Source organism: Homo sapiens, chromosome 5 (assembly GCF_000001405.40).
Source record: "Homo sapiens chromosome 5, GRCh38.p14 Primary Assembly".
NCBI lineage: Eukaryota > Metazoa > Chordata > Mammalia > Primates > Hominidae > Homo > Homo sapiens.
In genome coordinates, this window is record NC_000005.10 from 145,458,376 (window position 1) to 145,480,069 (window position 21,694).

The 21,694-nt window shown below is 36.8% G+C and overlaps 1 protein-coding gene and 1 long non-coding RNA gene across 4 annotated transcripts in view, besides 2 other annotated features; one reads left to right on the forward strand and one right to left on the reverse strand.

The window, feature by feature from the left end:
* Window positions 1-21,550, forward strand: part of LOC105378211 (uncharacterized) — a 50,059-nt gene extending 28,509 nt beyond the window's left edge. The window contains exons 2-3 of one of the 2 annotated variants that reach the window (XR_007058983.1): window positions 20,626-20,678; window positions 21,466-21,550. This is a non-coding gene — a long non-coding RNA (uncharacterized LOC105378211). Of the gene's footprint in view, window positions 1-20,625; window positions 20,738-21,465 lie in introns of both variants that reach the window. The other variant, XR_001742911.2, reaches the window with a different exon arrangement.
* The window catches only part of PRELID2 (PRELI domain containing 2), a 606,358-nt gene that overhangs the window by 229,391 nt on the left and 355,273 nt on the right, over window positions 1-21,694 (reverse strand). Inside the window, exon 7 of one of the 2 annotated variants that reach the window (XR_007058586.1) lies at window positions 14,825-14,940. The gene's annotated coding sequence lies outside the window, so the exon portion shown is untranslated. Of the gene's footprint in view, window positions 1-1,213; window positions 14,941-21,694 lie in introns of those variants that run through there. The other variant, XM_047416830.1, reaches the window with a different exon arrangement.
* Window positions 13,308-13,856: an enhancer, noted in NCBI's record as "NANOG hESC enhancer chr5:144851246-144851794 (GRCh37/hg19 assembly coordinates)". NCBI's record gives its function as "activates a minimal SCP1, AML or CMV promoter by ChIP-STARR-seq in naive H9 embryonic stem cells {active_cell/tissue: H9 hESC(naive)}" and the evidence as "EXISTENCE:reporter gene assay evidence [ECO:0000049][PMID:30033119]".
* Window positions 20,995-21,495: an enhancer, noted in NCBI's record as "OCT4-NANOG-H3K4me1 hESC enhancer chr5:144858933-144859433 (GRCh37/hg19 assembly coordinates)". NCBI's record gives its function as "activates a minimal SCP1, AML or CMV promoter by ChIP-STARR-seq in primed H9 embryonic stem cells {active_cell/tissue: H9 hESC(primed)}" and the evidence as "EXISTENCE:reporter gene assay evidence [ECO:0000049][PMID:30033119]".

Consider the following 21,694-nt stretch of genomic DNA (forward strand, 5'->3'; position numbering starts at 1 on the left):
TGTATTGTTAGTTTAAGAAGCATATAAATAGCTTAAAAATAATGTAAAATTGTACAGACAGTAAAATTCCAATTTCGTTATAATACTTAGTAGTGGTTTTCGACTGGGTGCAATTTTGCTCACAAGGGAATATTTGGCAATGTCTGGAGACTTTTTTGTGATGATTGGGTGCTGAGGAAGGGAGGCTCTATTCTGCCAGTATCTAGTGAGTAGAAACCATGGATGCTGTATATGTTCTAGAATTCATAGGACATCCTCCAGAAACAAAGAATTATTCTATCTAAAATGTCACTTGTGCTGAGGTTGAGTAGAAACCCTGACAGGTAGAGAAAATACTGGAAGAAATTATACTCCAATTGTAATAGGGTTATCAATGATTTGATTTATTGATTTCATGCATTTTGGTACATATTTTACAAATGTTCTACAATGGGCATTTGTTTCTTTTATTATCTGAAAAAATCAATTAAAGAAAAAAATCTGATTTGTTTTTATTCATTTTTGAAATAAGTCAATAAGTAATGGGGTCAGCTTAGAAACGGGTTGAAAAATTGATCAGAGCATCAAAAGAAGAGGGAGGATCCAACAGAGCATGAATATAAATTATCATTGGAGTTTTATTTCTGCTATGAAACTCCTTGGGGAATAAAAGGGGAAATGCCATCAGCCACCTAGGGTTCTAGGAATAAAAAGCAGTGTGCTATTATGTGATTCCGACTGATCTTCATCTTGAGTCAAGCACAGGCAATCACAAGAAAAATAGGAACAAGGACTGCCAGGCTGCTTTGAATGAATATCTAAAATATCCCCCAGAAAATTCTGATGTCCCCTGGGAGCTGTATCCTGGAATCTTGTGTCCTGGAGTCACTACACACTCAACAATTTGAAGTACATATAATTTTCAAATTATACATTCTTTATCCATTTCTCTCTAGATGCTACATCATAACTGAACCCTCTTGAGATACTAGAATTTCCCTTTTCACCTGAGCAATTGCCTTTTTTATTTTCAATTGGTTAGATTTCTTAAGCTGACCCAGAAAAAACTTGCATATAGTATACCTAGAAAAGTCAAAAAAAATAAATGTGTTATATTTTCTTTCCCCATAGAATCTATTCTTCCACATAATCTACCATTTATATGTACATGAAGTATGATTCCCAATGAACAATTTAAGGCTACTTAATTAACAATTTAAGTCACAGACACATATTATTTTAACATATTTATTTTTTCATATTATAAAATTTCCCCTACTAAATATATTTCCAGATTTAAAATAATCTTCATTCTGAAATGTACAATGATTGAAACAAAAAGAAAAGGCATAATCATGTCCCCCCAAAAATGCCTCAACTATATCTTCTTACTTTTTCTTTATTATCTATAGTTTCCTAAATAGAATTTATAGAAAACATTTGAATAATTACAATTTAATTTTTTTTTTTTTTTTGACAGAGTCTTTCTCTGTCGCCCAGGCTGGAGTGCAGTGATGCGATCTTGGCTCACCACAACCTCCAACTCCCGGGTTCAAGCAATTCTCCTGCCTCAGCCTCCCAAGTAGCTAGGACTACAGGGGGCATGCCACCACTCCCAGCTAATTTTTGTATTTTTAGTAGAGACTGGGTTTCACCATATTGGCCAGACTGGTCTTGAACTCCTGACCTCGTGATCCTCCTGCCTCGGCCTCCCAAAGTGCTGGGATTACAGGCATGAGCCACTGTGCCCAGCCTGTTAGTTCAGCAACATAAAAAATGACCAAGAGTTATCACAATTCATGTCATTAACTAGTGAGACTGCTACAACCCAACTGCAATTATCTTTTATTTTTCATGCCACCTGGCCATACGTTTCAGGTTGGGCCAGTTATTTCAATAAAGAGTTCTTCATACGCTGGCTAATCACACTGCCACCATGCACACCATCTTATTACAGCAGATTGTTTTTAGTTGCTATAGTAGTAAGATATAGAACATGTATTTTTAGTGGGTAGATTCCAAAATAAATTATCCTCTATTCTATTATCATATAAACCTATGACACAAAACAATAATTCATTTGGGTTGAAACACACTTATTAATTTCCATACTTGGCTTCACTTGCTGACTTTCTTTTCCTAACATACTCTACCCTGGCCCTAGATCCAACTTTACAATCATTTACTAACTTCTCTGTATCAAGACTTGCTTAGTGTATTCTGGACACCATTTATTCATTCACTTCACAAATACTTGGGGCACCTACCCTGTGCTATACTTCTTTAATCTTCACAAAAAATATAAGGTAGGCATTAAGTCATTTTACAGATGAGAAAACTAAGGTCACAGGAATTTAAATACATTTCACACAGTCACATAGAAGTATAACAAGGATTTAATTCATATCCTGAGCCCAAAGTCCATGTTTTCTATTGTGCTATACTGCCTCCTAAGATCACACTGTTGGCAGCTCCATGATATAATTTTAGGGATAACAATAATATGTGTTTACTTAAATAAACTATTTCAAAGATGTTTTATATGAAACTAGAAATGTATTCTTAGTGGCAGGATGATCTAACTTTAATAAGTAAGTAACCCTTAAAATGGAAAACAAGAGATTGAGTCATTTTTACTTTAATATGAGTGACTTCTCAGATTTTTGTGTGGGAGCAATTGATAACGGATGGAGATAATGAGAGCTTTGTGTGTATAAATACGAGACAAAGTAGTACAAATCAGAGCACAAGGAAAGAATTGCTGTGAAGGATGAAAAATCAATTTGTCCTATTTTCAATCTGGCCTTAGGTTTACCCTTTCTTTTATTCCATTTTTAGCTAAGAGATTAGATATATAGATAATAAGCAGCAATATGTATGTTTAGAATTGATTGGTTCAAATCTTTATTGCTCATCGACTGTATACCCTCAGACAAGATATTTAACTTCTTCTTCTTTTTTTTTGAGATGGAGTCTCGCTCTGTCGCCCAGGCTGGGGGGTGCAGTGGCATGATCTCTGCTCACTGCAAGCTCTGCCTCCCGGGTTCACGCCATTCTCCTGCCTCAGCCTTCCAAGTAGCTGGGACTACAGGCACCCGCCACCACACCTGGATAATTTTTTGTATATTTAGTAGAGATGGGGTTTCACCATGTTAGCCAGGATGGTCTCAATCTCCTGACCTTGTGATCTGCCCACCTAGTCCTCCCAGAGTGCTGGGGTTATAGGCGTGAGCCATCGTGCCCGGCCTTAACTTCTAATCTTTAGTTTTCTCATCTATTTAAGGAAAATGATAATTCCTATCCCACTGGATGGTCTTGGAGTGTATGTTTAATTATTGTTATTCTATAAAAGGCCTTCAATAAATAACAAGTCATTAAAAGATGGAGAAATATAGATAAGATTAGTATCAGGTGGATTCAAAATTGGTCAAAGGAATGGATGCAAATGATATTAAAATTTAATTCTCATCAAATATTTATGTATCCTCCCACATTTTTAACTCCTTTATGGTTAGATTGAGGATATATGACGAGGTTCAACCACTGAACTGTGAGCAGAAATACATGGACTATGTATGCAGCATGAGTAAAAAATAAACTTTGGTATGGAAAGTCACTGAGATTTGGAAGGTTCATTTGTTATTGCAGCACAACCTAGTCTAACCTGAATAATACATTATGAATTATTGCCATTCTGGAGTGTAGTCTATAGTAGTATGCTTCAGGGATCTACCTACGGCCATGCCCAATGTAGCATCGTTATCAAGGATTGGATGATCATTGCAGCTGATAGTACGTAAGCATGACAAAAAGCTACAGAGAGCACTGATACAATAAAATGTCAAACTCCAGAAAAATCTCAGGAGACTGAAACATAATCCAAATTGATTATCACAAACCTTAATTTAAATAAATGTCAAGTCTTATACATAGCTCCAAAAAGAAAACTTCCCAAATACAAAATTGGAGGACATGATGTAGGAGCAGTATGCATGGGGAATTCTGAAGGATATTACCATGTCAATCATTGTTCAGTAAGAGTACATATTGTGACTACAAAAGCTGATTTAACTTTACATTGAAATGTGTCTTAAATCAAGCAGTACAAGTCCTATTCTTTTAAGCTGTCCAAAAATTGCATGAATTCAGAAACATCTAAGTCATTTAATCTATTTCAAATGGCATGCTGGAATTTGTCATTTTCTCTTCCAGTTCTACTCTCCATCTTTCCCTACCCTGCTCTGTGACCAAGAAAACTGATCTATTTATGTTCTGGCTTCAGGTTGGCTTTGGCCATTGGGGCCACTGGCAGGAGATCAGGGCTGAAAGAGAAGAAAGAAGAGCATTAGTGCTCTGGTTTCCTCCCTGTGTAATCACTGTGAGTTGGCTGTGCCCACTGTCTACCGAAGGCGACACTCTCCATACGGTTACTCTTTCTGAGTTCAAGTGACTGCTGTTTCTAGTTGGCTCCTTAATCCTAGGTGAGGTGATGACTTTCCACTTCTACTAGCCCCAGGTTACTAGATTATCCCTTAGTAGTTCCTTAAAACTTGTCCAGGTCTTTGAAAATAGTAAACTCTCTCCAGTGACTGCTTTGACTGTACCTTCTGCTTCCTGCCAAACCCTTGAGTGATATAAATTAGACAAAATTTTATAGTAAATAGTAAAAAATAAATAAATAAAAAGTTTGATTTGAAATTTTATGTTGAAAAATGAAACTGAACATAAAATGATTGTTTAATTATGTGGAACTAAATTTATTTTATGATTTCAGCTTTGTATATTTTTCAAAATAAACAAAGAATAATTTTTTGTTTGTTTTTTATTTAATTTTACCGACATAATTTTATGACCTGCTATAGAAAATCCTTCATTTTGGTCTAACCTTTCTTCACAATTATAAATCTTTGCAAAACATTTTTAATCTTTTTTAAGTTTCAAAAGGATGTCTCCTAATCATTTTTTAACTCAAAGCATCCTATTTGAAGTTTTTTTTTTTTTTTTTAGTGTCTTTAGTTTTAATTGATATGGTCCTGTCTAATCCTTTTACAATAGTTTACCATGTGATGGGAGAAGTTCTCCACTTTCATTTTTAATTAATTTTATAGAATTCTATATCTTTTGCATAGTTTTCAGTTTAACTTTGTAATTAATTTGCATTGAGCAAGTAGTCACATTAACTATACCTAATCATATTATGACCATTGTGTTCCCCTATGCAACTTCATAACGGGAAGGACTCTGATATGGGTCCTGGACAAATGAAAATCACTGTCTACTGGTGACCCATTCTGGGCATGAAACTGTCATAGAGACAATAGCAAACAGAATGCAGCCAGAAGCCTACAGGGGCCTGAAGGTATTGCCAGCATTAAGGCTCTACATCTTAGCAGTAAAGATCCCACAGAGACCAAAGATAAACCAAAAGAAAACAGAGTCCAGTTAAGAGAACACTACTGCCACATGGCAGTAACTTAATATGTATGGAAGTCCAGTGATGACGTAATACTCTAAGCCTGATTCAGAGATAAAAGTTACCAAAGCTTTTATACACATTAATATTACAACAGCTTCCCAAATTCTAACTTGTTCTGATCAACAGGACAACATACATTACAAGAGGATTATGGGTAGAATTCTACCTTTTTGAGGGGCTTTACTTTAGGCTCTGTGGTCCAAAGAGGGCAAAGTCAAGTACCCCAATGACCTCCAAAGGCCTGTGTCACATATTAAAGATATTAAATCCACAGGTCTCATATATCAGATAGGAAACCATGCCCCTTCTGTACGTCTTCTAAAACACATGCTGAATTAAAGAGGTTCTTTAATTACCCCAAGCATGATGCTTCCAGATAGAGTTGAGAAAAGCCTAAGAGCTAATGCAGCAATCGAGCATCCCTTATGCAAATGTATAGTTATTTAAGGCCCTGGCTCACTGAGGAAATAATATTAGAATAAGGGAAAGGTGGAACAACTATATACCTCTCTTAGTGCCAATTTTGTTATGACAATAGAAAGTTAATTATTGATATTAGGACTCTGATACCACAAGATTAGGCCTTGACAAGCTTAATGTTTAAATATTTCTCAACACCAGGAAACAGAAATATATGCCTAAGAAAAAGGCAAGAAGTCTGTCTTCAAATATCTGCAGGTTTATCCTGTAGGAGGGAATTTGAATGAAACTCATTTCTCATAGGGGATAGTTAGCAAATGGTTCTTAATACTGTGTATTCACCTTCTACAGACCTTTTAATATGTCATCTCTTTAAGACAGAGATATATGGATGTATTTGGACATGTGAAAGATGTATGGAATATATTTTTAGATGTTACTTATCTGTTTTTCTCATTTATTTTATTAAACACTGCCAATTGATGTATCAAATTGGCAATTGGTTGGCATCTTCTTTGAGGTAATTAAAGCCTCTCTATGAATCAGCATGTGTATTAGAAGAGGTACAGAAGGTATGGTTTCCTATCTGATATATGAAATCCATGGATTTAATATTTTTAATATTTGACATAGGCCAACAGGGGGGACTGGGGTACCTGACTTTGCCCTCTGGACCAAAGAGCCTAAAGTAAAGTCCCTCAAAAATGTAAAATTCTGCCCAAAATCCTCTTGTAATGTATGTTGTCCTATTGATCAGAACGGGTTAGAATTGGGAAAGCTATTGTAATAATAGTATATATAAATATGTCACTGTATGTGCTTCTCAGAATTAATGCCTTCCACCTGTTCCCCCATAGTACTTTTCATGGCCTCCTAGAGTCCTGGTCTCAGTCTACTTTATATTGAAATTAATAGTGTAGTTTTCCACCTTCTGATATTAGATGGCTAGCAGCATGCACATCAGAATCAGCAAAGAAGCTGCTTAAACCACAGATACTCAGGCCCCACCCATCAAAGATTCTGATTTAGTTAGTCCAGACTAGAGACAAATTTTTATGTGTGTGCTCATTAGAGAGTAATCAGTCACTATATCCAAAAGTCAATAATGATACAAATAAGGTATTCAAATTAAATGCGTAAGAGTTGAGAACCAGGCAATGAATTCCATTGTGTGATATTATCCTAATAAACCCAGATCTTTCTCTCTGGTCATAGTCATGGTGAAGATGAGCAGTAGGAAGATACAGTAATTGAAAGCATTAACTCAGGAATTAAGCTGCCTGGGTTAACTCCGACTCTACCCTTACTACTGATGTGACCCCGGGGCAAGCTACTTAACTTTTCCATGTCTCCATTTCTTCATTGGTAAAATAACCGTCCTAATCGTGACTACCTCATAGACTTGTTGGAAGAACTCTATGAGTTAATGATAGATCTAAAGTGGATAGAACAGTGCCAAACAGTGAGTGAGTGCTGTGCTAGTTAGTATAATAGTAAATATTGTCCGAGAAAACTTTTGTTAGTGGCTGAATTAAATTTTAGCATTCAAAAGCTCCACAGGTGATTCTAACACAAAACTAGATCCCAGAGCCAGAGATGCAGGCAAACCCAGGCAGCCTTGAAGGTTTCAAACTTTTCCTTTTCCAAAGTAAGATATATTCCCCTCCATTATTATGATAGCATTTATAAATAAGATTTCTGACAATCTGACCATCATGAATTCAGCTTTAGTGACATCTATAATTATCCTTTGGAAATTTTCCCTGAGCTGAGACGTGTCAGAATGTGTGTGAGCAGATTCTGCCTCAGAGATTTTTCTTTCTGCTGCTGTTCCAAATAAGTTAGTCATTAAAGACATGGAAGAAAAAAAAAGTCCTTGGAAGCTGAACAGTTTAACAGTTGGCAATGATTAATAAAATGAATGAGAAAAACAGATAAGAACATCTAAAAAGATACTCTCCATAGGAAATTCACTTTACTATAGAAACCAAAAGTATGAATACAAACATAAGCATACCAATTTGGCAAGATTAATATCTTGATACAAATGATAATAATTAATACCATTTTTCATTATGAGTAATAAAAGGTCTTGAAAAACAGGTGGCTTTGTGACAATTTAAATGAACAATTATGCATTTAGTTTACTACTTGGAAATAGTGATCAAACTAACATGAATTTAAATTATGTGCTGGTAATTAAAGTCAAATTAGAATATATATTACATGATATATAATGTATGTTTTTGTATGTCTATCTATTTACCTACATATCATATATCTATCTATAACTATGTAAAATGCTTGGACAAGGCAATAGATAAATAGTTTATCCACTAAGTAAGAATGTAAAATTTCCATTTTATTTTGATATTGGCTGGTAATTAAACCACTGAGTAGAAAATCCAAGAACACATTGTCCCTTGACAAGCTGGGACAAACATTTTGGTAACAAACAGATATAGGGCTTTTTCCAGGAAATGATAGTTTTCTGTCTAAGCAGGCCACTAAAATAATGAAGTCCAATACTTATTTCAGGGCCGCCCAGGCCTTCTTAACCCCAACCCACTCCCATTTAGCAAGCCACACTCAACCTAGAACAAGCATTTATGCCTCTACCATTACAACCTCACACCTACCACCCACCCTGAATTCACCTGTCCATAAAAATGAAAAATTAATCTAGTACCAAATCTAAAGAAATATATGTTACCAGCACTAGATCAACATTCTCATTAGTCTCAACCAGGGTCACTAGTAAATTTGAAAGGTCTCCAATGACCCTTTGATGATATTATAATGCCCACGAGCATCTCCCAGGAGTATCTTCCCAGAAGTTTGTAAAACCCAGGAAGACCCTTTCCACATTAAAACATACTTCACAGTCCTTCTGGTTCAGTCCACTATCCCAGTGGTTATCATGACAATCCATAACTTATAAAAATCTGGAGAATCACTGTTATAACCAAGAGTATTTGTCCTTAGGGACAGAACACAACTCTAGCCCACCAGCACTGGAAGCCTCCATCTGCATCATGGAATTCCCAGTGCTCTGGCACCTGATACACCACACAGAGTTTTCTGGGCCCTTCACAAGTCCAGTCATAAAACGACAACACTGAAGGATTTCATAGTGGCTCTCCAGGAAATAGGGATATGACAAACCATTCCAAGTCTACATATATGCTAATCCTAAAAAAAAGAATGAAAGGATTCTAGACCTAAAGTATATTTCATATTTTTAAAATAAAATGTAGGTCCATTTTACATTTTATGTTACATTAGCTAATATATATTTAGTATCTACCACGTATCAGAGACCGTGCAAAGTACTTTACATACATTTTATCATTTAGTCCTCAAGAAGGAAACAGAAGTTACCCTGCTGGTAGATAAGTCTGATGACAAAGCACTGTTTCTTAAGGGGAATTCCTAGCAATTCATGGCCTTAATTGTGAGCATCTCATCCTGAGCCATTTCTATTCTCAATCATTCTACCGCCTGACTTTACAGATTTTTTTTTTTTTGGCTTACAGGTGGTATCAAACTAGCAGATATATTTCAACTGTCATGCCATATATGCTTTTTTATTTTTAAGTTATTTATTTTCAAGTTTATTTTAAAGTTAATTTATTTACTTTGTTTCATTTTGTTTTGTTTTTTATATATATATTTTTTTATTATACTTTAAGTTCTAGGGCACATGTGCACAATGTGCAGGTTTGTTATATATGTATACATGTGCCATGTTGGTGTGCTGCAGTCATTAACTCGTCATTTACATTAGGTATATCTCCTAATGCTATCCCTCCCCGCTCTCCCAACCCCACAACAGGCCCCAGTGTGTGATGTTCCCCTTCCTGTGTCCAAGTGTTCTCATTGTTCAATTCCCACCTATGAGTGAGAACATGTGGTGTTTGGTTTTTTGTCCTGGCGATAGTTTGCTGAGAATGGTGGTTTCCAGCTTCATCCATGTCCCTACAAAGGACATGAACTCATCACTTTTTATGGCTGCATAGTATTCCATGGTATATATGTGCCACATTTTCTTAATCCAGTCTGTCATTGTTGGACATTTGGCTTGGTTCCAAGTCTTTGCTATTGTGAATAGTGCCTCAATAAACATACGTGTGCATGTGTCTTTATAGCAGCATGATTTATAATCCTTTGGGTATATACCCAGTAATTGGATGGCTGGGTCAAATGGTATTTCTAGTTCTAGATCCTTGAGGAATCGCCACACTGTTTTCCACAATGGTTGATCTAATTTACAGTCCCACCTATAGTGTAAAAGTGTTTCCTATTTCTCCACATCCTCTACAGCACCTGCTGTTTCCTGACTTTTTAATGATCGCCATTCTAACTGGTGTGAGATGGCATCTCACTGTGGTTTTGATTTGCATTTCTCTGATGGCCAGTGATGATGAGCATTTTTTCATGTGTCTGTTGGCTGCATAAATATCTTCTTTTGAGAAGTGGCTGTTCATATCCTTTGCCCACTTGATGGGGTTGTTTGTTTGTTTCTTGTAAATTTGTTTGAGTTCTTTGTAGATTCTGGATATTAGCCCTTTGTCAGATGAGTAGATTGCAAAAATTTTCTCCCATTCTGTAGGTTGCCTGCTCACTCTGATGGTAGTTTCTTTTGCTGTGCAGAAGCTCTTTAGTTTAATTAGATCCCATTTGTCAATTTTGGCTTTTGTTGTCATTGCTTCTGGTGTTTTAGACATGAAGTCCTTATTTTATTTTTAAGTTAATTTATTTTTAGTTGCAGACTTCTAAATCTTGGGACAGTTTTACCTACAGAAGTGTATGTCCACCTTCTTTTAGAAAAGTAAGGTGTGGCAGCAATTGGCTGGGACTAAGTAGCAGCCCCTCTCTTCAAATGAAAAACAAGCTTTCAAGTTCACCATTAACATTATCTCCTTCGCCCCTTAGACTTTTGCATTTTAGGTGCCCTGATTCAATATAACATTTTGTTATCTTAAAATACTATCTAGATATAGTCAGCTAATCTCCACAATCTACTAACCAATATATCATAATTTTGTATACTAGTAGTAAATCCTGAGCCATGTCTTTGCAGGTGCAACAATTTGAGGCGTGTCAAAAGTAAAAAACAGAAGGGTCCTTTACCTATGGATAAAATGTTTGTTTCTACCATCAGATCTTCTGATTGAGGCATGTTTCACAAAGGAGTGGCCTTAGGAATAATATCACCTTATATGAAAGAATAATGTAACTGCTCCCTTACTCAGAGTTCATAAGCCTTTTTAAGGTTAACAGATGCCATGATCCAGATGGAAACTTCCATTAAGCTTGATGACTCTATCCACACAATCTATTCCAAAGCAAAAAGGCAGCGACACCGAACTGATAGATGGAAGCAATGACCAGCTGTAAGATTACTTGTGATGGGTAGGAATCTTGATAGTTAACTTCATCTGACAAGTAGTCAATTTCTTGAGATTCAGTGCTGTGTTTTTCTCTTTAGGGACTGCAACCTCTGGCTCGATCAAAGAAGCTAATTACTGATAAACTCTGTTATAGGGAATTAGAACTGACAGCTTAATTCTGTACTTAGTTCTGACATCTTTGGTATTGAGAAATTTCACAATGTCCCATCAGTAAATCTGCAAGACATCAGCTGAGGTGTCCCAAATAATTCCCCTAAGTGTTTCACATGTAGGAATCTATCCTACAGATATATTCACATATATATTATGTCATTTATTGTGGAATTATTTGTGAATGAAAATAATGAAAACCTGCTAAATGTCTATTAATCACCCGAAGGGGAAAAGTTAAGTAAACTATAACACATCCAATCTATTACTAAACGTAAATCACACGAAGGGTGGGACAGTTGTCTGTTTTCTTGATGATCCCCAGAGATTGGCTGACTTTTCGTCTAAAGGGCCAGATAGTAAATATTTTAGGATCTCTGTCTTAACTACTTGACTCTCCTTCTGTAGCAAAAAAGAAGCCATAGACAATATATAAACAAGAGAGCATGGCTGTGGTCCAATAAGACTTTCTCTACAAAAACATGTGACAGGCTAGATTTGACTCAGGGCTGTAGTTTTTCAAACTCATGCTAACAGGAATCATAAAACATCTACATTGCACCCATCGACAAATATCTTCAGGCCCATCTACTAAGTAATCGTAGCTAACATTTACCGAATACTTACTCTGTAACCTGCTAAGCCTGTCAGACACTAGTTAGGTAATTTTTATAACAAAATGATGATGAGATGGGTTATTACTATTTTCATTTTCCACATGAGGAAATGAGACATAAAGAGTTGCATAACTGCCCTTGCTTATGGAGCTGGGAAATGATAGAGCAGGGATACACCACCTCATTAAATCTACAGCCCATCTGTTATAAGCTGGGTCATGTGAAGATGCAGCCCTAAATCACTTAGCATGATATGAATGACAGTCAAATTATGAATAATTTCTCTTGCTTTACAGATAGGGAGACAGAAATACAAATGGAATTGCAAGATCTGCACAAGTCAGTTTTGAGTGACTAATAGACCCTCTCCTCTTGATCCTGCTGCATTTCATTTTCACAACATCTTCCAATGAAGTATCTGCCACTGTCAAGTCAAAACAGCAGCTTGGAAAATTGCTTCTTGAGGGCATGTCTTTGTCTTCATTTAAACAGTCCCAAATCCTCACACCTTCTATGGCTGCTTGACAGTCACCCTCACCTAATCCTAACCCCGGAGGTATATTTGTAGTTCTTCTAGGGACACAATGACAATTACATTGTAGGGAGCAGTGATCATTAATCTATTAATCAAGGCTGCCAGCTCAGACTTACATGCCTTAGTAATAAGTGGATAAAACACCTTAGAATTAACTGCTTAACAAAGTTGAGTTTGATAAGAAGCCAAATTGACAGGCTCCTCCCCCAACATCCAGGCTAACTTTTCACCAGCTATATGGAGGAAGCTATAAAAATCTCTCTCATAGATAACTGCCCATTAGCTGTACATTCAGAACAACTTCAGAGAGCTTCTCCTTACTGCTGCACTGCTATTTTCTTACAAACCTCCCACTCACAATAAACCATAACTGCCTTCAACTTCTGGAAATTAGCTGGCAGTCAAAACCAGATATTTCTTATACCAAAAGGGGAATAAATTGAGAAGTTCTCAGAGAAGCAATCAAGAGAATTTTAGAATCAACTCCTTTGTCCTTTGGCCTACTTCCCTGACTCCTTGTGGGTTCTAGGTACATAAAATACTCAGTTGTCATAACTACTATTCTAATATAATTTATTAATAATGATAATATGGGTACCATAATTCCTCAATTCTAACACACACATTTTTTTTTTTACATTCTACTTCTCATGTTTCACATTTCTCAAACCAGTATGCCTCTTGCCTATCGGTGTATATATTGAATATAGTGTGACTGCTTCTTCCTTTTTCCCTGAAAAACTTAATGATGCATATTAAATTTGTGGCATTTTAAGGTTAAGGAAATACGTTAAAAACTGACATATGTAATACAATTCTGTGATTGCAATCAACATAATCCAACTTAGGCCATCCAAAAAGAGAAATCACTGGAGAATGATTCCCATAGAATTGCTGGGAGAGCTGGAGGAGCCAGCTCCACAATGGGACAACAAAGAAGGTAAAGGAACTGCTTCCCAGTCTCATGAAGGAGCTGATGTGGAATCAAAGGATCAATTCATTTGAGTCATCATTGTTTAGTCTTTCTTTGTCATTCTGCTGAGGATTCAGTTCCAGAAGAAAGAGCCCATCTGATTGGCTTAGATCCAGTGTTTGCCCTGTGACTATGCCAGAGGGTGAGGAGGGGTGTGGAGGGAGAAGCTTGCAATGGCCTCCAGAACATTTTTGACGACTGTAGTAGGAAGGCAGAAAGACCCTGATTCACAGCCCCTCCAAGATCACACATAACAGAAGATAAGCAATTCTTCAAAAGAAAATTATGGTATGATTAAGAAAGAAGAGGTTATGCTGGGTGGCTAGAGCTTGTCCAGGACTTGAATGCTGAGACCACTTTCTTACCACCTACAGTCTCTGGTTAGATGCTCTCCACAGCCCCATAGGACAAGAATGATAAGCACTATTATCTTCATTTTTCACAAGAGGAAACACAGCCCCAGATAGGTTAAGTGACCTAGTTTATCAGTTGGTATGTGACAGAGCAGGACTGAAACCCAGCCTTCTGACTCACAGTTTATACTAATTACATTAAAGATGAATACAGGAGGAGAAAGCTTTCCCATTATAATCCTAAGGCCTAGAAGAAAAATAAATCTTTATCCACAAATTAGCTTGAGGAATAGCCCCCAGCCCTTTATGCCTACTACCTTAGGGTCACAGCAGAAAATTGTCTGGAGGTAGAAACAAGTTCCCCTAGTTATGTGATCTTCAGCAGAAAATGTAACTCCTCTAGACTCAGTTTCCTCAGTGGTGAAATGGTACAGAACAATTTCCTTGTCTTCCTGCTAGATTTACAGAGGAGACACGATATAAGAACCCAGGTGTAAATCCCTCAAAAACACTCAAGGATCTTTAGTTATAAGCCTGAATCATCATTCTCTGGTCTGATAAGTATAGAGTCACAATTCTGTGGGCCACAACCTAGATTTTCATTAAACTATTATTTTCTAGAACACAGTTTCTTTGGAATCTGACCTACCTTTTTTTAAGGAACCTAGGATAACACATATAAACTCATTCGCACAAAAAGAAACATTTTCATTCACAGCAACCAACTATCTGTGCTAAATTGTGAAATTTAAATTTCTTTTACTGTGTGTACCTTAAGTACACTAAAATATACCATGAGTATAACATGGACTTGGTATTCATGGGAGGTCAAGTGTTTGAAGAAATTAATCAATTTTGAGTGAAGAAGGCTTCCATCTTTTTCAAAGAATGCTTTGCAACAACTTACCACGGTAAAGAACATGGGTTTTGGATCCACGCCAGATGTTAACACAGGCTCTTGATGACTGTTTGATGTTGAGCAAATCACATACATTTTCCAGTCTTTATTTCCCCATTTATAAGCTGGGAATTAAAATGCATATTTTACAACATTATTGCAAGGCTTATAGCTAATACATATAAAATAGCTAGGATTTAGTAAACACATAGGATTCCAAAGCAGTAGTTATCATCATCATCATCTTATTATTATACGGATGATGTCATTAATCCTCACAATATTAAGAGATGCTTACTGTTTTCACAGATGTGTAGAGTGAATCTTAGAGAGAATTTAAATCACTTATTAAGGTTAGAGCAACACTGTTAACACCAAATTATGCTATTATTATTACTATTACTCTTGCATTTTACTATCTTTATTATTATATATCTTCAAAGACAGTGCAGAGTAAAATTTGGAGGGCACATGACACAGCAGCCATCTCTGTGAATGGCATTCAGTGCCACGGGAAAGGAACAGGATCTTAAATTAAGAGGAACTAGTTCTGAATTTAGGTCAAAATCTTCCAAGTCATGTGACCTTAAGTCTTCAGATGAGCCTTAATTTTCTTATCTGTAAAATAAGTTTCATAACAATCACCCCTTGGGATGGCTTCAAAGATCGAATATAAAAATATATACAACAACAGTTTACATAGTGTAAAATATTCAGTGAGCATACTTATGTTAATTTTGCTGATGCTATTGCAATTACCAGGAGCTAAGTTACAGTTAAATCTGTGGAAGCCGCCTTAGTTAGTAACAGATGCAAGAACAGTGAAGAAAAGTGTTTTTGGCTCCACTAAAGGAAAAACCAATATCAACTTCAACCCAATGTTGATAGCAAAGAAAAGTACTCAATCCAGAGTGTTACGCCCACATGGGCAGGATGTGATTCCAATACCTGTGAGAATACTAATAAGTAACAACAATAAATGGCTGAATAAATCTATCTCCCAAGATCAGAGGATCCAGAAAGAACAATGTAGAATGTAGACGTGATCAGTTTTGTATTATTTTATTAAAACATTCGTTACATGCAACTCCTTACAGTGTTCTCATGGCCTCAACATTACCACCAATTATCTCTTGCCATAATCATTTTATAAAACTAGAAAAGACAAAGAGAACTCTCCCAGGCACTGATCCCTGAAACTGAATCTTCTTTTCCATGGAAATATTATTACATAGAAATCTGGGGATTAAGGGAGATTTATCAGGCCTTGGTTAGCCATGATGACAGTCATTTGGCAGCCCTGCAAATCATTGAAGAGTTCTGTGTTAGCACTCATACCTTCAGAACCCATGCTCTGGAGTGGCAGGCAATTACTCACACCTGTTTGGCCTGGTCCAATTATCCTCCTAAGCAGTCCTGATCATAATTGCTACATTGGCTGATAGAACCCAACAAATGGGTTCAAGTCACAGCTGGCCCCTCAAGACAGATTTCCTGATTATATAGTTATTCGGGGGGTCAGTGTGAATGTTACACTTCTTTCTAAAGAAGTAAGTTGGGATGTGCATGCTACAGATTGTAGTAGTAACTTAGTAAAAAGTACAATCATCTTGTACTCTATCTGTGGCAGGATCATTGACAAAAAAATAGTCTAGTGGTGATAATCAATAGATTAACTCATTTATTCCTCATGGGGTACACTGGACTGAGATGGGCAGGATTTAGTGTATAAAAGGAGATATCACCATGCATATTAAATGAACTATTTACTAAGCCAATAGGTCTGTTATTTATGGAAACTAAAATAAAGTTCTTCTGAAAATTATGAAAGACTATTCTCTGGGTTCCTCCACATAGGACAAGACACACAGATAAGTAGAATCACCAGATGATAAGACACATGAGGACAGGGTATGTGCATGTTATTCCATCTCAAATGCTTAGTAGAGTGGCTGGCATATTGCAGGCACTTTACGAACACTTGTTGAATGAATGAAGGAATGAATGAATGAACTTAATAAAAGTAAGTTAGCTAGCCAGAATTAGAGGCCAACATTCAAGTGATCTAACATTCCTTGAAATAGAAACTCTTCCCAGTTGCTTTATTTGGTTTTAATATTTTATCCAAGTATAAACTATGTGGGAATGTTACCAGGGCCCAGAAAATATTGTGGGCATGATAAGACTTCCACTTAGCTTATGAAACTGAAAAAATAAGCAGCCTAAACATCCACTGTGATCTGAGCTTCTCTTTCAGTCCCCTTTCCAAATCTCAATTTCAGGTGGCTATTTCTATTTTGCAAGATCTCATTCTCAAACGCAGTTCTTACTACATGAATGCATTGTACCAACCATTTTTGCAAGGAAATACAAAATTTAAAATAAATGTCAAAACTCACAGCACAGGCTAATGTAAAAAAAGTTGACCAAGATGTTTTAAGAGTTTGTATAAAATATGTAAGAATAGAGTTTAGGAACAAGATTTATTTCTTGTTTGAAAAGAATAGTATTAGCCCAGCTTTTCCAGCTTAAGTTAATATTGGTCAGCTAATCTCTCATTAGACAGAGTTCACATGCTATAATTAAATTTAATAAATAGTCTCTATGATCTATAGTATTTACCTGTGACTAATAAAATTCTGTTCATACGTTAATAGGTGAATAATATTTATAAAATATTTTCCCATGTGAAATGTTTATAATCATTAAAAATAATTATTTGTTGTCAGGTGGACTAAAGTAGATAAATAATATTTAAATGCTAATGGTCTAAGTCTCAAAGCCAGTCCATGTTCTCACTCTATCCTGCAATGCTTATGGATTGTTTTCCTAAGCAACCAAGTAATTCTAAAACTTAACTGTGCATGTGATTCTCTAAAGCATCTGGTTAAAATATAAATTAAGGACTCTACCAAAAAGACTCCAATTTAGTATCTCTGAACAAAAGGAGCCCAGGAATTTTCATTTCAAATAATCATCCCAAGTGATTCTGATGCACTGGGGGTAAGGTCTAGATGTGGATTTATTTTTGAACTGCCCATTTATTCTAGTCACAATTTTGGGAGACAATCAATTCTAAAGTTCTCCAAAATTATAGTTAGAAAAATATGCAGAAAATTATGTGACATGCGTAAAGTAGAAGAAGATAAATTTGAAAGAATTAATTGTTCCAGGCCAGGAGTGGTGGCTCACGCCTGTAATTCCAGCACTTTGGGAGGCCAAGGCTGGTGGATCACCTAAGTCCAGGAGTTCAAGACCAGCCTGGCCAACAGGGTGAAACTCTATCTCTACTAAACATACAAAAATTAGCTAGGTGTGGTGGCATGCACCTATAATCCTAGCTACTTGGGAGGCTGAGGCAGGAGAATCGCCTGAACCCCGGAGGTGGAGGTTACAGTGAGCCGAGATTGCGCCACTGCACTCCAGCCTGGGCAACAAGAGTGAAAAGAAAAAACTCCATCTTAAAAAAATAAAAATTTATTAATTGTTCCTTCTCAAAGAGTATGAGACTTGCAATTTTAAAAAAGAATGAAACACCTTTCACATGCATAGATCTTGCTTCTATTTTTATTTATAAATTCTCCTTTTTATGTGGTGTTGGGCAGGAGTATTCTGTCCCCAAAAGCGCACAGAGGAATGAGAAAAACAATCAGGAAAATAATTGACACAATATAACACATAAGGCAGAACACAGTGCCTGATAAATCATATATTTGTAATAAACATTGAATAAAATGAGCAAATGCCTTAATTCGTTAATAATTAATAGTAGCTCATAGAAAAAACATATTTTTCAGGCATTAGAATTTGTATTCAATGATGTTTTTCTATAATATAATTCTGGAGCCCATTCTGTAAACTGTTTCAGTTGACAATAATCTTATTGAAGATTTATCCAGTAATCTTTTCATGGCAAGTGGTAGAAACTCCAGATCTACCTCCAACTCAAAGAGGCTTTATCCGAATAAGAGAGAGAGAGGATACAGAGATTTATAAAACTGGAAAGACCAAGATTGGATCTTTGCACTTCAGGTACAGCTGGATCCAGGAGCACAAAAGGCTTTTTCTCAAAGCTCTGCTTCTCCCATCTCACTGCTCTACATTTCTCTGTGTTTGCTCATTCTCAAGCAAGGTCTCTCCTCATAGAGACAAGATGGCGGCCATCCACTGCAGTCCACATCCTATCCTATCCTATGAATAATTTTACCAACAGAAAGAATAGTATATACTTATATCCCAATAGCTCAAGAAAAATTCCCCAAATGAGCTCTGTTTGGCCCTGATTCATATGATTTATGCAACAGGCCCATCAGTGAACCAATCGCTATGGCCAAGAATGCATGCATAGGCCTAAGACACACCTCTCCCTGGACTTGGAGCATGGCTAGCCACACCTGGACAACATTGACTTAAAATGGAGGAATGAATCACAGTTCCCAAAGAAAACTGAAAGTGCTATCACCAGAAGGTAAAATCTACTATATAAAATTCTACTATAAATACTGTCAAATGGAAGCCCTACAAAATGAACCAAGAGAAATTAGCTTTAAATAAAATTTTATGTGAGTGCAAGTATATGCATTGTGGCATTCCTGGGTCAGTGGCATGTATAAATACCTTTTTAGTCAAAAGAATAAAAAGAATAAGAAAGAGAAGGAGGAGGAGAAAGGGAAGGAAAAGAGGAGGAAGAGGAATAGGAGGGAAAGGGGGAAGTGGGGAGGAAGAGAAATTTGAGATGTTAAGGTGAGAACAGTCAGTTTGGGCTATTTCTTACCACTCCTACATTAAGATAGGCTAGTGGTTCACTGAATTTTAGGGCTAGAAGAACCTTAAAGACCACTTTGTCTAATTAAATGGGTTACAAATAAATAAATAAATTTCAAGATTTGGTTCCTTTCTACTTGTTCATTTCCATCTCTCACCACTCGAGCCCTTGTTCTACTGTCTAGGCCCTGTATTGTCCAGGGTAGTAGCCATTTGACTTTGGACACTTGGATGTGGCTAGTTCAAATAGAGCTGTGCTCACGTGAAAAACACACAGAACTTCAAAGACTTAGTATGAAAAAAATAATATAGGTCAGGTGCAGTGGCTCACACCTGTAATCCCAGCACTTTGGGAGGCAGAAGCGGGCAGATCATGAGGCCAGGAGTTCAATACCAGCCTGGCCAACATGGTGAAACCCCGTCTCTACTAAAAGTACAAAAGATTAGCCGGGCATGGTGGTGCGCACCTGTAATCCCAGCTACTGGGGGATCCTCCTGAGGCAGGAGAATCGCTTGAACCAAGGAGGCAGAGGTTGCAGTGAGCCAAGATCACGCCATTACTCTCCAGCCTGGGCAACAGAGCAAGACCCCGTCTCCAAAAAATAAAGAAAAAGAAAAAAAATATAAAGTGTCTTCTTAATATTTTATACTGATTACACATTGAAATGATAGTTTCTGGGACATTTGTGGCTGAATAAAACATATTATTGAAATTAATTTTATCTGCCTCCTCTTACTTTTTTAATGTGACTGCTATAAAGTTTAGAATTATAAATGTTATGTTTACTTGTATGACTCACATTTGTAGCTCATGTTAGGTTTTATTCGATAACTATTTTACCCACGCTGTCTTTTGGTGGCTGGAACATGTGTAACTGTGGGACCAGCCCAAACTGGATCTACTCTGTTGATAACAAAATATCAGGTTGCCTTTTAGCCATAACAGAGCCAAAAACTGCAAGTTGTATAGCCTGGGCATGTGCAATAGAAAAAGCTTTGACCTCTAACAATACCCAGAAGTCACAATTCTTCCCCTCTGCCTTCAGAATCAAGAAGATTGAGACTTGACCAGAACCTGAACATCAGAACTCTTTAAGAAGTAAGGACTCCATTGGCCAGGAAGATCCAAGGCTAAAATCTGCCTCAACATACTTTACTGTAAATGCTCAAATCTGAAGCCCTCCAATCAGACCCTGCCAAACCAACGTTCCTAAATCCTTTCCCTTGCTCTCTGATCCCTTAAAACTTGCCCCAGATCCCAAATCAGAGAGACAGATTTGAGCCTGCTTCTGTCTCTTTGCTGAAAGAAAGCTTTCTTTTCTCAAAAGTTGGTGCCATAGTTATTGGCTTCTGTGTGCATCAGGCAGCGAGCCCATTTGCTTGACAACACACACCATACTCTTTCTAATTTCCTGGCCATTGCACACGTTGTTTCCATGGCCTGGAACACTCCTACCTCCTGTTCATCCTGCAGAGCCCAGCATACATCACTCATCAGGAAGACAGTCCCTGAACTTACGGCCCCTGTGTATGTGTGCTCACAGCTTCCTGTCATCACATTCCTCACATTGTGTTATTACCATTCACTTAATTGTCTGCCTTAAGTACCCTGAGTTCAGACACAGTGTTTTCTTGTTCATTACTGCATCCTGAGCACTGCGCCTGGTGCACAGTAAGTGCTCAGTAAATATGTATTGGACTAATGTTGAATAATTATGGTTAAGTTAATCTCTCATAGTTCCCCAGAAACTCAGGTCTTTTGCCTTCCAGAAACAGAAATTTTGTCCTGTATTCAAATTTCTGGTCTTCCAATTTTCTGAAACTTATGATCCTTTCCTTAGCCACTACATGGCAAGAATGGTTCATTGTCATTTTCTTCCTCATAGATGACAAAAAAGGGGGGTAAGATAACCCCAGAGAACTGAAAGAGGATCCTTTGAAAAATCCACAGGAGCATGTTTCATAGCTAATGGATATCTACAATCAAAAGACTTGTGATTTAAGTATCAAGATAAACAACTATCACAACATTTAAAACACTCACTATATTTCCTTTCCAGCTTTTTAACTATAAAATCAATGGCATGTTAATGACTCAAGCATTAGCTTGCTCAC